The 16,675-nt window shown below is 45.2% G+C and overlaps 2 annotated features.

Annotated features, from left to right (window-relative positions):
* Positions 7,461-8,305: an enhancer, noted in NCBI's record as "H3K27ac-H3K4me1 hESC enhancer chr1:52470431-52471275 (GRCh37/hg19 assembly coordinates)". NCBI's record gives its function as "activates a minimal SCP1, AML or CMV promoter by ChIP-STARR-seq in primed H9 embryonic stem cells {active_cell/tissue: H9 hESC(primed)}" and the evidence as "EXISTENCE:reporter gene assay evidence [ECO:0000049][PMID:30033119]".
* Positions 9,939-10,233: an enhancer, noted in NCBI's record as "tiled region #8174; K562 Activating DNase unmatched - State 8:EnhW, and HepG2 Activating non-DNase unmatched - State 3:PromF". NCBI's record gives its function as "activates a minimal TATA promoter and a strong SV40 promoter by Sharpr-MPRA in K562 cells, with weak activation in HepG2 cells {active_cell/tissue: HepG2 | K562}" and the evidence as "EXISTENCE:reporter gene assay evidence [ECO:0000049][PMID:27701403]".

Below are 16,675 nucleotides of genomic sequence, written 5' to 3' on the forward strand. Positions count from 1 at the left end.
TTTAAAAAACACTCCCAAAAGTTTAGTGGCTTAAAACAGCAATAATTCACTATTTCTCATAATTCTGTGAGTGGCTAACTGCCTCCTTTGCTGGTTTCACCTGCGATCATTCAGGAGCTGCATTCAGTTGGAAGGGCTGCTGGCCTGGAAGGTCTAAGATGTCCTTATTCATAAGTCTGGCAATCAGTGCCAGCTGAGGACTGGCACCCCAGTTTTTCTGCATGTGACCTCTCATCCACTAGTAGGCTAGACCAGCTTACATGGTGGTCTCAAGGCAGCATTCCAAGAGTATAAAGGCAGAAGACACAATCTCTAAAGACCAAGCCTTAGAAATCGCACGACCTCACATATGCTGCATTATATTAACCAAATCAAGTCACAAGCCCAGTCCAGATTTAAGGGGTGGAAGAAATAAATTCCACTTTTGATTGGGAAGAAGAGCGAAGTCACATCACAAAAAGGCACAATATAAGGAACAAGGAGTCTATTGCCTTTAACCAAACTACTACAGGAGTAGAAACAAATGTGGGTAATGAGAGAAAATGATGAGTATCTCAAATACCACCTCCTGCACAAATCATTCCTTCCTTCTCTGTGCTTCAGTTTCTTCATTTGTAAAACGAATGAATGTGCAAGTCCATTCCTCTCACCAGCTGCTGTTTACGAGGTGAAAGTGGTTCAAATCTGCAACAAGGACACTGCTCCATCGCCAGGGCACACACTGTCAGCAGGGGTGGAATCTGAGACACACACAGGGGAAACATTCAACATGTGAATGGTCAGAACCCCGGTACCACCCACCACCCCTCCCTCCCCACCCCAACCCTGCCAATGCTTCACCAAGCCCAGCCCATTCTACTTCCCAGGAACTCTTCATTCCATAGCCACAGTCTCCTCACTATCCTGCTCCTGCAATAGCCTCCAATCTGCCGTTAGTCCGCACTCCACACTGCAACATAGGACGCTTCCTAAAGCCAGCTTGAAACCTCCCATTGCCCTACTCAGAAGCTTATCTGTTTAATAAGCCTAATGGCCCCTGGTGATCTGGTCTCATCTACCCTCCAGCCTCACTGCTGGTCACACCCCCTTCACACCCTGAGCTCCCACGACATTAAACTACTTGCAGTTCTTTGAATGTGGCCTGCTCCATAACATCTTTGTGAATTTGCATCTGTTTTTTTCTCTCTACCTAGAATGCCATTCAGTCATTTATTCAATAAATCGCTGGTTCACTCACCCAGCTAGCAAATATCTCCCGAACACCTGCTGTGCAGAGACGAATAACATATGGTCCCTGACCCAAGGAACTCAGTGTCTGGTGCAGGACAGTAGACTATAAGATCCACTAATCTGTACTCCACAAGAGGAAAGGCCATACTAGTACCCAACACAGGGCCTCCTAAACCATTCTTAGAAGAGCTCAGGGATAAGTATATAAATATTAAATACTTATACTGATGCTGAATAAATAAGTACATAAGTATTAACAAAGGATTTCTTCTCATATCTGCCATCTCATTTAACTTTCACAATGAACCTGTGAAGTTGGGACTGATTCATGCCATCTTAGATGTGAGCAAGTAGTAACTGGCCCATGGTTTCTTAGCTACTGAAAGCAAGGAAAACCAGGACTCAAATTAGCCACAATAAGAGATTTGGTGAGACATGACTATTTTCTCACAGTGGGACAGATCAGCAGAGAGGAACCTGAGATGTTAGACCTGGCCCCGTGCTAGGTCCTGGGATGTAGACTTAAGAATTAATTAAACTGAGCCCCAAGGAAAAGTAGGAGTTAAATGCATGGAGAAGCCACCTAGGCAGATGGGCCAGCATGAACAAAGGCCCAAAGGGTGTGAAATAATGTGAAGTCTTCAGAGAACTTGGAGTCTCTAGAAGCATAGGCATAATGGGCAGAGCAGCAAGTGATGAGTGAGGCAGAAGAGCTAAGTCGGAGCCAGAGGTCAGGCAAGGCCTCGGTGGCCATGCTAAGCACAATGGATTCCATGATCAGGGCAGTGCAGGGCTGTTACAGGCCTTTATCCGAGGGGAAGACTTGGCAAAAGTTGTGTTTTAAAAAGATCTTATAGCCTGCACAATAGGGATTGAATTGGAGGTTCCAAGATACTGGGAGCAGGGACACCAGAGAAAATGCTGGTGGAGTGACTTCAAAATAGCTCAGCTGGCTGTGTGCAGTGGCTCATGTCTGTGATGCCAGCACTTTGGGAGGCCGAGGTGGGCAGATTTCCTGAGCTCAGGAGTTCAAGACCAGCCTGGGCAACATGGTGAGAACCCGTCTCTACTAAAAATACAAAAAATTAGCCGGGCGTGGTAGCACAAGCCTGTAGTCCCAGCTGCTTGGGAGGCTGAGGCAAGAGAATCACTTGAATCCAGGAGGCAGAGGTTGCAGTGAGCCAGGATCATGCACTCCAGCCTGGGCGACAGAGCAAGACTCTACCTCCAAAAAACAAAACAAAACAAAATAGCTAGGAACAGTGGCATGCGCCTACAGTCGCAGCTATTCAGGAGGCTGAGGCCAGAGGACCGCTTGAATCCATGAGTTTGAGACCAGCCTGGGCAACAAAGCGAGACCCCACCTCGACAACAACAAAAGAAAGAGAGATTATAAGACCTGAGCTGGGAAATGCACTGGGACATGAAAGAAACAAGATTTGGTGACTGATTGGATGTAGATGAGGCAAAAGAAAATTGAGGCAACCAGGAGAGCTTTCTAACTTGGGTAGTGTCATTTGCTGTGTGAAAGAGAACAAAAGAGACAGTCATGGGGACAGAGGGGCCAGAAGAAGGGGAATGGTGGTAAAAGCAGCAACTGCTCTGGAAATAATTATTATACTTTATTTATTGTATTTAAATTTAATAGAGGCCATTACTGTCTCAGTCAGGCCTCTCCCACAGAGCCCAGAAGCAGAATCTAGCACTATCCGTCCCCTGTGTCTGCTTCCCTGGCCCTTTGGGCCTCTTTTATTCCAGTTATTAAACAGAGAGAATACCCATTCCATAATTTAACACAATGACTGGATAGCATCCTGTTATCGGAGTATTAGTTTAAAACTTAATCAAGGTTTTAATGAGGAGCCAGAGGAACCTCAAATCAACCCTCCACCAAACCAACATGGGGCCCCCTCTATAGCCCTAATCTGCTCACTTCCAAGGATGGGGAGACCACCTTCTCTAGGGCAGACCACCTTGCCTTGGGATAACCCTTATTGTTAGTAAAGTCCTCTGCTAAAATCTGCCTGTTTGTAGCTTCCACCCTCTGGTCCTAGTTCTTCATCATTATATTATTCGTTCATTCATTGCACAAAGATGTGTTGATCACTTAGTATGTGCCAAGCATTGTACTAAGCACAGAGTACACAAACGTGAACTAAACAGGCAGAACCTCTGCTCAGACAGAAATTAGGAATCTGCAGAGAAGAGACAAACAATAAGTACACAAATTATCTATGATAATTTCAGATGGTGATAACCATATTTAAGGAAATATGCCGAAGAGATGATTATCTTAGGATGATTAAACAGGGACAGCCTCTCTGAGGAAGTGACATTTTAGTTGAGACCTGATGGATGAAAAAGAATCAATCCATTTTAGAGATGATTTAGGAAATTAAGATGCAGAGAGAACAAGTGGTTTTCCCAGGGCAAGACAACGGGTAAACAACTAACTAGAACCTTCCCCCCTTGGCTGGGCACAGTGGCTCATGCCTGTAATCCCAGCATTTTGGGAGGCCGAGGTGGGAGGATCTCTTGAGCTCACGAGTTCGAGACCAGCCAGAACAACATGGTGAAACCTCATCTCTATTAAAAATACAAAAATTAGCCTGGCATGGTGGCGTGCATCTGTAGTCCCAGCTACGTGGGAGGCTGAGGCACGAGAATCACTTGAACCCAAGAGACAGAGGTTGCAGTGAGCCTAGATTGTGCCACTGCACTCCAGCCTGGGTGACAGAGCTAGACTCCATCTTAAAAAAAAAAATTGTGCTCACCCTAGGCACAAAGTTCTTCCTTGGTCTCACATCATCCACCACTGACCAGACCCCTTTCTGGATGACCTCTGTTAAATGAGGGAATTGAATTAAAATAAGTATAATCGTCGGGGTGCGGTGGCTTCCATCTGTAATCCCAGCACTTTGGGAGGTCAAAGTGGGCAGATTGCTTGAATCCAGGAGTTCAAGACCAGTCTGGGCAACATGACGAAACCCCATGTTGACTAAAAATAAAAAAAATTAGCCAGGCTTGGTGGCACGTACCTAGAGTCCCAACTACTCAGGAGGCTGAGGTGGGAGGTTAACTTGAGCCCAGGAGGTCGAGACTGCAGTGAGCCCTGATTGTGCCACTTCACTGCAGCCTGGGCAACAGAGTGAGACCCTATCTCAAATACATAAATACATTAAATTAATTAATTAATATAATATAATAAACTTAAGTTTTGGAAACAGGCAGTTCTGGGTTCAAATCCAACTTTTACCATTCACTAATTATGTGATTGAATTTCTCTAGACCATAGGTTGCTTATCTGTAAAATGAGGATAAGGATTATTTCACTGGCTCATTGAGAGTTAAATTAAAGATGATAATGTATGTAAAATAGGTGGTGCATACTAGACTATTGAATAACATCAGCTACTTTCAGCATGATAACTAAGTACATTATGCTTGCCAATGAGTCCACCTTCAAATATGTGTCCAGGGAATGAAGAACGGTTACCAATGGCTTAGTATCTATAAAACAAGTCAGAGTAGGCCGGGTGCGGTGGCTCATGCCTGTAATCCCTGTGATTTGGAGGCCGAGGCAGGGGGATTGCTTGAGCCCAGGAGTTTGAGACCATCCTGGGCAACATAGCGAAACCCCATCTCTACAAAATACAAAAGTCAGCTGGGTGTGGTGACCTACAGGTGCACCTGTAGTCCCAGCTGTTTAGAAGGCTGAGGTGGGAGGATCACCTGAGCCCAGGGAGGTTGAGGAGTGATTGCACCATTGCACTCCAGCCTGGGTGACAGAGTGAGACCCTCTGTTTCTCAGAAAAACAAAAATAAGACAGATGCCTTTCTAATTTTGGAAGAATGTCTCCTATTTGTCTTTCCTGGAGGGCTTGCTAAGTAAGGGAGGCTGTTAGGCAAGCCTGTGACCTTCGGCAAAGGTAAGTCTCATACTCCCTCTTGTGTCCGAAATTGGAACTGTACTCTCTCTGGACTGACCAGTAACCATGGTGCTGAAATCAACCTGGTTATATGGGCTGAATGGCAGGGAACTAGTGTTTGTTAAGCACCTGCTATATTCCGGGAACCTTCTGAGGTAACTTCCATATATTATCTCATGTCTCATCAACCATTCAACAGAAGAGAAAACTGAAACTCAGCAAGGTTAAATGACTTCTCCAGGTATTCGTGGATAATAAAGTACAAAACAGATCTAAATGGAAAAACTGGAAAAAAGTCAGTGATATTGATTGTACTACAGGATAAAATCCAACCTCCTTAGCAAATATGATTAAATTCTTTTATCTTCAACTTTATTTTCAACCAACTAATCCCCTTGGTCCTTGTGCTCTGGCCACACGGAATGACTTAGAGTTCTCAGAAATTGCTTTAAATCTCAGCATTTTTGCCCAAGCCTTTGTCTCTTTCTTAGGTGACTTCCTCAATACCCCTTCCTAATCTAGAAAATTCCTTCCTACACATCCTGTCATCCCATCCAACTTACTTGGAGATAATTTAATCACCCCTTCCTTTGTACTACTTTTGGACCTCAGACATTATATATATACATATATATTCAATAAATACTTGTGGGATGGCTATATATATTTATATATATATATATACATACACCACATGTATATAATACACACACACACACACACACCAGGTCCTATACACTAGGTTTTGTTTTTTCTTTCTTTCTTTTACAATATCCTTTTTTTTTTTTTAAGACAGAGTTTTGCTTTGTCACCCAGGCTGGAGTGCAGTGGCAAGACCTTGGCAGCCGGGCATGGTGGCTCACGCCTGTAATCCCAGCACTTTGGGAGTCTGAGGCGGGTGGATCATGAGGCCAGGAGATCGAGACCATCCTGGCTAACATGGTGAAACCCCATCTCTACTAAAAATACAAAAAAAATTAGCCAGGCGTGGTGGCGGGTGCCTGTAGTCCCAGCTACTCAGGAAGCTGAGGCAGGAGAATGGCGTGAACCTGGGAGGTGGATCTTGCAGTGAGCTGAGATCACGCCACTGCACTCCAGCCTGGGTGACTGAGCAAGACTCTGTCTCAAAAAAAAAAAAAAAGACCTTGGCTCACTGCAACCCCTCTGCCTCCAGCGTTCAAGTGATTCTCCTGCCTCAGCCTCCCAAGTAGCTGGGGTTATAGGTGCACACTGCCATGCCGAGCTAATTTTTGTATTTTTAGTAGAGACGGGGTTTCACCATGTTGGCCAGGCTGGTATCGAACTCCTGACCTCAGGTGATCCACCCGCCTCAGCTTCCCAAAGTGCTAGGATTACAGGTGTGAACCACCGAGCCTGGCCTCTTTCACAATATCTTCATGACATTCAATATACTAGGTTTTGAAGGCATATCAGTGAACAAGAAGACAGATAAAAGCGCCATCCCGATGGTGGATCTTACACTGAAAGTGTCTAGGCAACAAATGCTGATGGTTTAGACCATGGTAGTAATGATGGGGGTGAAAAGGAGTGAATTCATTTGCTAGGGCTGCCATAACTAAGTAACACAGACAGGGTAGCTTAAACAACAAAAATTTGTTTTCTAAGTCTGGAGGCTAGAAGTCTGAGAACATGATTGGTTTCTTCTGAGGCCTCTCTCCTTGGCTTGTAGATGGCCTACTTCTCCCTGTGTCTTCCAGTGGTCTTCCCTCCGTGTTCAACTATGTCCCAACCTCCTCTTCTGATAAGGATGCTTGTGCTATTGCATTAGGGCCCACCTATATGACTTCATTTTAACGTCATTACCTCTTTAAAGACCTCATCTCCAAATGCAGTCACATTCTGAAGTACTTGGATTAGGACTTTAAAATATGAATGGGGTGGCTGGGCATGGTGGCTATGCCTGTAATCCTAGCGTTTTGGGAGGCTGAGGTGGGTGGATCATCTGAGATCAGAAGTTCAAGACCAGCCTGGCCAACATGGTGAAACCCCATTTCTAATAAAAATACAAAAATTAGCTGGGCGTGGTGGCATGCACCTGTACTCCCAGCTACTCAGGAGGCTGAGGCATGAGAATTGCTTGAACCCGGGAGGCGGAGGTTGCAGTGAGCCAAGATTGCGCCACTGCACTCCAGCCTGGCCAACAGAGCGAGACTCTGTCTCAAAAAAATAATAATAATAAAATACGAATGGGGAATGGACACCATGTATAACAAGGAGTGATTTTTTTTTTTTTTTGAGATAGATTTTTGCTCTGTCACCCAGGCCAGAGTGCAATGGCGTTATCTCGGCACACTGCAAGCTCCGCCTCCCAGGTTCACGCCATTCTACTGCCTCAGCCTCCCGAGTGGCTGGGACTACAGGCGCCCACCACCACGCCCGGCTAATTTTTTGTATTTTTAGTAGAGACGGGGTTTCACCGTGTTAGCCAGGATAGTCTCGATCTCCTGACCTCGTGATCTGCCCTCCTCGGCCTCCCAAAGTGCTGGGATTACAGGCGTGAGCCACCGCGCCCGGCCTCACTTTTCAATATGTATACACTACACTTTAAATACGACAGAAATTTGATACCCAGATTATCCACTTAAAACTAATACATGCACAAGTCCTTGTTAATAGCTGGAAATTTTACATCATTTCGTTTCCCTTTGAACTTGTATTTCTTTCACTCCACCTGAGCCAGAAATTAAAAAATAATAAGTGCTGCATTTATTCACTCCAAGAAAAGTAAAAGCTAAGGCCCAGAATGTGGCAAGGCAAGGGTTAAAAAAGAAAAGAAGAAGGCAGGGCATGGTAGCTCACGCCTGTAATCCCAGCACTTTGGAAGGCCGAGGTGGGTGGATCATGAGGTCAGGAGATCGAGACCATTCTGGCCAACATGGTGAAACCCTGTCTCTACTAAAAATACAAAAACTTAGCTGAGTGTGGTGGTGTGTGCCTGTAATCCCAGCTACTCGGGAGGCTGAGGTGGGAGAATCCCTTGAACCAAGGAGTCAGAGGTTGCAGTGAGCCGAGATCATGCCATTGCACTCCAGTCTGGTGACAGAGCAAGATTCTGTCTCAAAAAAAAGAAAAAGAAAAGAAGAACAAGTTTTCCTCTGCTTAGCAGCTCACTTCAAGGACAGTTATAAGATAACACTCAGAAAAACCAAGGCCAAAGGAATGGGCTCCAGACACCACCCCCTCCCTCCAGAGCAAGGTTGACGGAAAAAAAAAGAGAGGAAGACAAATTCCTTTACTGTTACTCCTTTCCCTGGCTTCTTAAGCATGACTATGTTTTACAAATGTCTGTATTTAGCCAGTTCTTGTTTTTCTTTCGACGCAGCTACAAGGCCACCAGCTATGCAAGGCCACAAGTTATGCACTGTATGATTAACTGCCTTTGTTTTGCTTTTGTAAGCCTGCTTATAAAAACCCTGCTCTGTCTTTGTTCAAGGCTCAGGTTTTTGGATGTGAATCCACTGAGCTGGTGTGTACCTTAAAATAAATATCCTCCTGGTTTCCCATATCAGTCTCTCTGTTCCTCAGTTTACCGCAACACACCCACAGAATCTTAACCTAATTGTGGAGTCCGAATTAGGGAAAAGGCGTTAGGCTGGCGGAGCAGGGAAAAGCAAAAAGACAAGGCAGATAAGCCCTAAGTCTGCCTTTCTTCATGGTCCAGGACACATAGCCCTCCTGTGCAGATAACTCACATAATCCACAATCTTCCTGTGCCCACTTTGTAACCACCCAATGGGTTGACCTTGCCCGCTGCCTAGACAGAGCTTGTGGGGAAAAGCAAGAGAGATCAGATTGTTACTGTGTGTGTGTAGAAAGAAGTAGACATAGGAGACTCCATTTTGTTCTGTACTAAGAAAAATTCTTCTGCCTTGAGATTCTGTTAATCTATAACCTTACCCCCAACCCCGTGCTCTCTGAAACATGTGCTGTGTCAACTCAGAGTTGAATGGATTAAGGGCGGTGCAAGATGTGCTTTGTTAAACAGATGCTTAAGGCAGCATGCTCCTTAAGAGTCATCACCACTCCCTAATCTCAAGTACCCAGGGACACAAAAACTGCGGAAGCCCGCAGGGACCTCTGCCTAGGAAAGCCAGGTATTGTCCAAGGTTTCTCCCCATGTGATAGTCTGAAATATGGCCTCGTGGGAAGGGAAAGACCTGACCGTCCCCCAGCCCGACACCCGTAAAGGGTCTGTGCTGAGGAGGATTAGTAAAAGAGGAAGGAATGCCTCTTGCAGTTCAGACAAGAGGAAGGCATCTGTCTCCTGCCGGTCCCTGGGCAATGGAATGTCTCGGTATAAAACCCGATTGTATGCTCCATCTACTGAGATAGGGAAAAGCCGCCTTAGGGCTGGAGGTGGGACCTGCGGGCAGCAATACTGCTTTGTAAAGCATTGAGATGTTTATGTGTATGCATATCTAAAAGCACAGCACTTAATCCTTTACATTGTGTATGATGCAAAGACCTTTGTTCACGTGTTTGTCTGCTGACCCTCTCCCCACAATTGTCTTGTGACCCTGACACATCCCCCTCTTCGAGAAACACCCACGAATGATCAATAAATACTAAGGGAACTCAGAGGCTGGCGGGATCCTCCATATGCTGAACGCTGGTTCCCCGGGTCCCCTTATTTCTTTCTCTATACTTTGTCTCTGTGTCTTTTTCTTTCCTAAGTCTCTCGTTCCACCTTACGAGAAACACCCACAGGTGTGGAGGGGCAACCCACCCCTACAAGAGCTGATTTATCAAGAAAGGGGAATTGCAATAGAGAAAGAGTAATTCATGTACAGCCATCTGTACAGGAGACTGGAGTTTTATTATTACTCAAATCAGTCTCCCCAAGCATTCTGGGATCAGAATTTTTAAGGATAATTTGGAGGGTGGGGGAGGCCAGTGAGTTGGGACTGCTGATTGGCTTGGTTGGAGATGAAATCATAGGTGGTCAAAGCTGTCTTCTTTTGCTGAGTCAGTTCCTGGGTGGGGACCTCAAGACCAGATTAGCCATTTTATCGATCTGGGTGGTGCCAGCTGATCCATCAAGTGCAGGGTCTGCAAAATATCTCAAGCACTGATGTGAGGTTTTATAATAATGATGTTATCCCCAGGGGCAATTTGGGGAGGGTCAGAATCTTATAGCCTCCAGCTGCATGACTCCACCTAAACCATAATTTCTAATCCTTTGACTACTTTGTTAGTCCTACAAAGGCAGTCTAGTCCCCAAGGAAGAGGGGGTTTGTTTTGGAAAAGGGCTGTAATCGTCTTTGTTTCAAAGTTAAACTATAAACTAAGTTCCTCCAAAGTTAGTTCGGGCATACACCCAGGAATGAACAAGGACAGCTTGGAAGTTAGATGCAAGAGGGAGTTGGCTAGGTCAGATTCCTTTCACTGTCTCAGTTACAATTCTGCAATGGCAGTTTCAAAAATGTTAAAAACTTGGCCAGGCACGTGGCTCATACATATAATCCCAGTACTTTGGGAAGCCAAGGCGGGTGGATCACCTGAGGTCAGGATTGAGCCAAGATCATGCCATTGCACTCCAGCCTGGGTAACAAGACAGAAACTCTGTCTCAAAAAAAAAAAAAAAATTAAAAACATAACTCTCAAACAGATTCTGAACACATACCAACATTTTAATTAATTCATTAACAAAGACCAGCAAGAAGACAAACCAATTCAAAGGATACAAAAACTTGCATACATACATATTGTCAGTGACAAAAAGGAATACTAAAGTAAGATTGCTAAATCAGATATAAAACTGGTTAATGACTTACAGTCAATAAAGTCATAACATTTGAGATTATCTTCCCCTTAGGAAAGAAATCATTCACATATAATTAGTGTCCTATAAATTAAAATTCAACTCTATAAAGTTGTAAAATGTCTGGATCGTAATTAACAATAAAAAAAAAAAACTCTTGGTGTCAGGTAACTTTAGACAGGCTTGTTACAAAAATGCTCTACAATTACATTAAAAGTTTTGAACTCCTATGCAAGGTGGTTCACACCTATAATCCCAGCACTTTGGGAGGCCGAAGCTGGTGGGTTGCTTGAGCTCAGGAGTTCAAGACCGTCCTGGGCAACATGATGAAATACTAAAGAAATATATGACAGGCAGGACGTGGTGGCTCACACCTGTAAACTCAGCACTTTGGGAGGCCGAGGCGAGTGGATCATGAGGTCAGGAGTTCAAGACCAGCCTGGCCAACATGGTGAAACCCCATCTCCACAAAAAAAAATACAAAAATTAGCTGGGCTAGTGGCATGCACCTGTAGTCCCAGCTACTTGGGAGGCTGAGGTGGGAGGATAGCATAAGCCTATGAGGTCGATCACAGGCTACAGTGAGCTGTGATCAAGCCACTGCATTCAAGCTTGGGCAAGAGAGTGAGACCCTGTCTCAACAAAACAAAACAAAACAAAACAACAACAACAAAGTTTTGAATGCTTTTTCTTAACAGTAATTACTTCTAGAGATATTAGTGCTGAGAAACAATCTTCACATAAAAAGTACCTGAGAGGCTGGGCGTAGTGGCTCCCACCTATAATCCCAGCACTTTGGGAGGCAAGAGGATTGCTTGAGGCCAAGTGTTCAATACCAGCCTGGGCAATATAGAGACACTGCCTCTATCAAAAAAAAAAGTAGCCAGGTATGGTGGCACATGCCTGTAGTCCTAGCTACTCAGGAGGTTGAGGTGATAGGATTGCTTGAGACCAGGATTCCAGCGTTACAGTGAGCTATGATCAGGTCACTGTGAATCGGCTACGTTTTGTCTGGGGTATATACCCTGGGGTTCACTGTCGTGTGCCAGGAAAATTTAGGACACAGACACAAGGAGTTTAAGAGCAGAGGTTTAAAAGGAAGAAAAGAAAGAGAAACAGCTTCCTCTACAGAGGAAGGAGTCTCCAAGTGGCAAAGACCCAGGGGTGGTGAATACACCAATTTTTTTTTTTTCTTTTTTGAGAGGAATCTCACTCTGTGGCCCAGGCTGGAGTGCAGTGGCTCCATCTCGACCCACTGCGACCTCCAGCTACTGGGTTCAAGCAATTCTCCTGTCTCAGCCTCCCGAGTAGCTGGGACTACAGGTGCCCACCATCACATCCGGCTAATTTTTTTATTTTTAGTAGAGACAGGGTTTCACCATATTGGTAATGCTGGTCTTGAACTTCTGACCTCAGATGATCCACCTGCCTCGGCCTCCCAAAGTGCTGGGATTTCAGGCGTGAGCCACCGAGCCCTGCCAGATGCCCCAAATGTAATAGTTAGATTTGAGGAAGTGGTGTCCGATTTACATAGGCCTCACAGATTGGTTCCATCAGGTATGATGGCAGGGAAGGCTGGTTGCCTAACCCTAATCTTATTATGCAAATAGACTTTCCAGTTGATCCGCGCCATCTTGTCTGCTTCTTACTGTACTGTGGCTGGCAGAAAAGGGGAGATGGAGCCGCCATCTTGAACATGTCTAGTTCCTAGTTCCTGCCAGCGTTCCCCTGTGCAAGCTCCCAGCTTGCTTGTCTGTGTCTGCGGCTGGATTTTACAGGCTGCTCTTTGTTAGAAAATGATTTGGGGCTGCTTTTTATTAAAAAGAAAATCCTGACTGCTTGAACCTGGGAGGCGGAGGTTGCAGTGAGCTGAGGTCGTGCCACTGCACTCCAGCCTGGGTGACAGAGTGAGACTCTGTCTCCAAAAAATAAAAAAGAGGCTGGGAGCGGTGGCTCACGCCTGTAATCCCAACACTTTGGGAGGCCGAGGCAGGCAGATCACAAGGTCAGGAGATCGAGACCATCCTGGCTAAAACAGTAAAACCCCGTCTCTACTAAAAATACAAAAAATTAGCCATGTGTGGTGGACGCCTGTAGTCCCAGCTACACGGGAGGCTGAGGCAGGAGAATGGCGTGAACCCATGAGGCGGAGCTTGCAGTGAGCCGAGATTGCGTCACTGCACTCCAGCCTGGGGGACAGAGCGAGACTCCGTCTCAAAAAAAAAAAAAAAAAAAAAAAAAAAAAGAAAAGAAAAGCCTTACTAAGGACTCCCATTCCCTTACTAGCTGCCTAAGTAATTTATTCTTAACTCCTGTATCAACTGTACTTCAGCCTAGGCAACAAAGTGAGATTCTGTATCTAAAAATAATTATATGGGAATAGAAAGCGTTTCTTCATTGCAATGGCATTAAATTCTTTGAACTCTGAGTTATATGCCCAAAAATCACAGCAATCTAATATCAAAAAAACTTTGAGACAAGGCCTCACTTTGTCTGCCCTGCTGTAGAGCAGTGGCACAATCTCGGCTCACTACAACCTCCACCTCTGGGTTCAAGCGATTCTCAGTCTCCGGAGTAGCTGGGACAACAGGCATGTGCCACCACGCCTGGCTAATATTTGTATTTTTATAAGAGACGGGGTTTCACCATGCTGGTCAGGCTGGTCTCGAACTCCTGTCCTGAAGTGATCCACCCACCTTGGCCTCCCAAAGTGCTGGGATTACAGGTGTGAGCCACCCTGCCCAGCCAAATGGATCAGTTTCTAAATCAGACTTTATTTCAGAAATAATTCATTTTGGAGAAAATTGGAATATGTGTTTTAAAATCAAATGTAAAGCTGGGCATAGTGGTTTATGCTTGTAATCCCAGCACTTCAGGAGGCTGGGGCTGGAGGATTGCCTGAGTCCAGGAGCTCGAGACCAGCCCGGGCATCATGGTGAGAGTACTTGTACTTATTGGCCTTATGTGTCTCTCCAGCCTGACTCCATGCTGTTAGCCTTTCCTCACCTCTTATTCTTCCTATTTATTTATTTATTCTGAGTCTGCTTGCTAGAGAACTCTTATTATTATTGTTAGACCAGGTCTCACTCTGTCAGCCAGGCTAGACTGCAGTGGCACCATCTCAGCTCACTGCAACCTCCGGCTCCTGGGCTCAAGTGATCCTCCCACCTCAGTCCCTTGAGTAGAGGGGACCACAGGTAGCTCCGCCACACCCCACTCTGTTTTGTAGAGACGGGGTTTTGCCGTGTTGCCCAGGCTGGTCTCGAATGCTCGTATTCTTTTTTTCAGCCTCTACCGCTCCACTCCAGCTTCTGCTTTCACAATTCCACCCAAATGGCTCCTCTTAGATAAATCCTCTTAATAGGAGGAGATATAGGATTTGGAAGTGAGAGAGGGAAGTTTGGTTGATAAAATCATTTTTGAAATTTGTCTTTCTAATTTATACTTGCATGGATAATCCTTTATTCAACTCCCCAGGCCTATTGGGTACATGTGCCAATAAATATCCTGATAGGCAGCTGGGCAAACTAATGTATTTTTGTACGTTGTTTTAGAACCCCTAAAGGACCAAAAAAAAAAAAAGAAAAAGAAAAAAAAAGAAATAGATTCTGGTAGTCCTAACAGTGATCTTTCTCTCTCTTGCAGTGTTCCTTATCCAATAAGTAAATAGCACCACCCTCTGCTGTTTTACATGCCAGAAACCTGAGACCTGTCTTTGACTTCTTCTAACCTCTCTCCTTAATCATCAGTTATTGTTTATTTTTTCTCTTAAATATTTTAAAAATTCACCTACTCCAGGCCGGCCACGGTAGTTCACACCTGTAATCCCAGCACTTTGGGAGGCCAAGGCAGGCAGATCACGAGGTCAGGAGATAGAGACCATCCTGGCCAACATGGTAAAACCCTGTCTTTACTAAAATACAAAAAATTAGCCAGGCATGGTGGTGCATGCCTATAGTCCCAGCTACTCGGGAGGCTGAGGCAGGGGAATCACTTGAACCAGGGAGGCAGAGATTGCAGTGAGCTGAGATCATGCCTCCAGCCTGGTGACAGAGTGAGACTCTGTCTTAAAACAAACAAACAAACAAACAAAAAATCAAATATATTGAGGTATAAATTACACACAATAAATATTCACATGTCGGCCAGACGCGGTGGTTCACGCCTGTAATTCCAGCACTTTGGGAGGCAGAGGCGGGTGGATCACCTGAGGTCAGGAGTTCGAGACAAGCCTGGCCAACATGGCGAAACCCCGTCTCTACTAAAAGTACAAAAATTAGCCAGGCGTGGTGGCGCATGCCTGTAATCCCAGCTACTCAGGAGGCTGAGGCAGGAGGATAGCTTGAACCCAGGAGGCAGAGGTTGCAGTGAGCCTAGATGGTGCCACTGCACTCCAGCCTGGGCAACAGAGCAAGACTCAATCTCAAAAAAAAAAAAAAAATTCACATGTCTAGTTTATGATTCAATGTATTTTGACAAATATAAACAACTGTGTAACCACCACAATCAACATTTCCATCACCACAGAATGTTCCTTCTGGTGCCTTTGCAGTCAAACCCTTCTCACCCCCATCCCCAATGCCACGTAACCACTGATCTGCTTTCTCCTGCTATAGTTAAGCTTTGCCTGTTCCAAAACTTTATATAAATATACCATTTTTTTGGCCTGTCTTTTCACTCAATATGCTTCTGAAATTCATCCATGTTGTTGCATGTTATCAGTAGTGTGTTCTTTTTCTTTTCTTTTCTTTTTTTTTTTTTTTCCGAGATGGAGTCTTGCTCTGTCACCCAGGCTGGAGTGCAGTGATGCAATCTCGGCTCACTGCAACCTCTGCCCTCCACCTTCCAGTTCCGGTGATTCTTCTGCCTCAGCCTCCCAAGTAGCTGGGACTACAGGTGCACACCACCACACCCAGTTAATTTTTTTTTTTTTTTTTGAGACGGAGTCTCGCTGTGTCGCCCAGGCTGGAGCACAGTGGCGCAATCTTAGCTCACTGCAAGCTCTGCCTCCTGGGTTCATGCCATTCTCCTGCCTCAGCCTCCCGAGTACCTGGGACTACAGGTGCCTCCCACAACGCCCGGCTAATTTTTTTTGTATTTTTTAGTGAGACAGGGTTTCACTGTGTTAGCCAGGATGGTCTCGATGTCCTGACCTCGTGATCCACCCACCTTGGGCTCCCAAAGTGCTGGGATTATAGGCGTGAGTCACCGTGCCTGGCCAGTTTGTTCTGTTTCATTCTGAGTGGTACCCTTTTGTATGAATATACCAAATGTTATCCATTTATTTGTTGATAGGCATTGAGGATGAATCCAGTTTTTTGGATATTATGAATAAAGTTGCCATAAACATACTTTTTCACATTTTATTTGTTAAGATGGGTCCCACTGTCACCCAAGCTGGGCTGCAGTGGCATGATCACAGCTCATGACAGCCTCAAACTTCTGGGCTCAAGTGATTCTTCTGCCCCAACCTCCCAAGTACCAGGGACTGTAAGTGCACTACCCTATGCCTGGCAATTTTTTGTAGGGAAAGGGTCTCATTATGTTGCCTAGGTTGGTCTCAAACTCCTGGCCTCAAGTGATCCTCCCACCTCGGCCTCCCAAAGTGCTAAGATTACAGGCATGAACCACCACACCTGCCCATGAATATTTTTGATAAGCTTGTGTGTGGGTGTGTGTATGTGTGTGTGTGTTGTGTTCCTATGTTTCATATAATCCATATAGTCATATAATT

This window comes from Homo sapiens, chromosome 1, assembly GCF_000001405.40.
Source record: "Homo sapiens chromosome 1, GRCh38.p14 Primary Assembly".
Classification (NCBI taxonomy): Eukaryota; Metazoa; Chordata; class Mammalia; order Primates; family Hominidae; genus Homo; species Homo sapiens.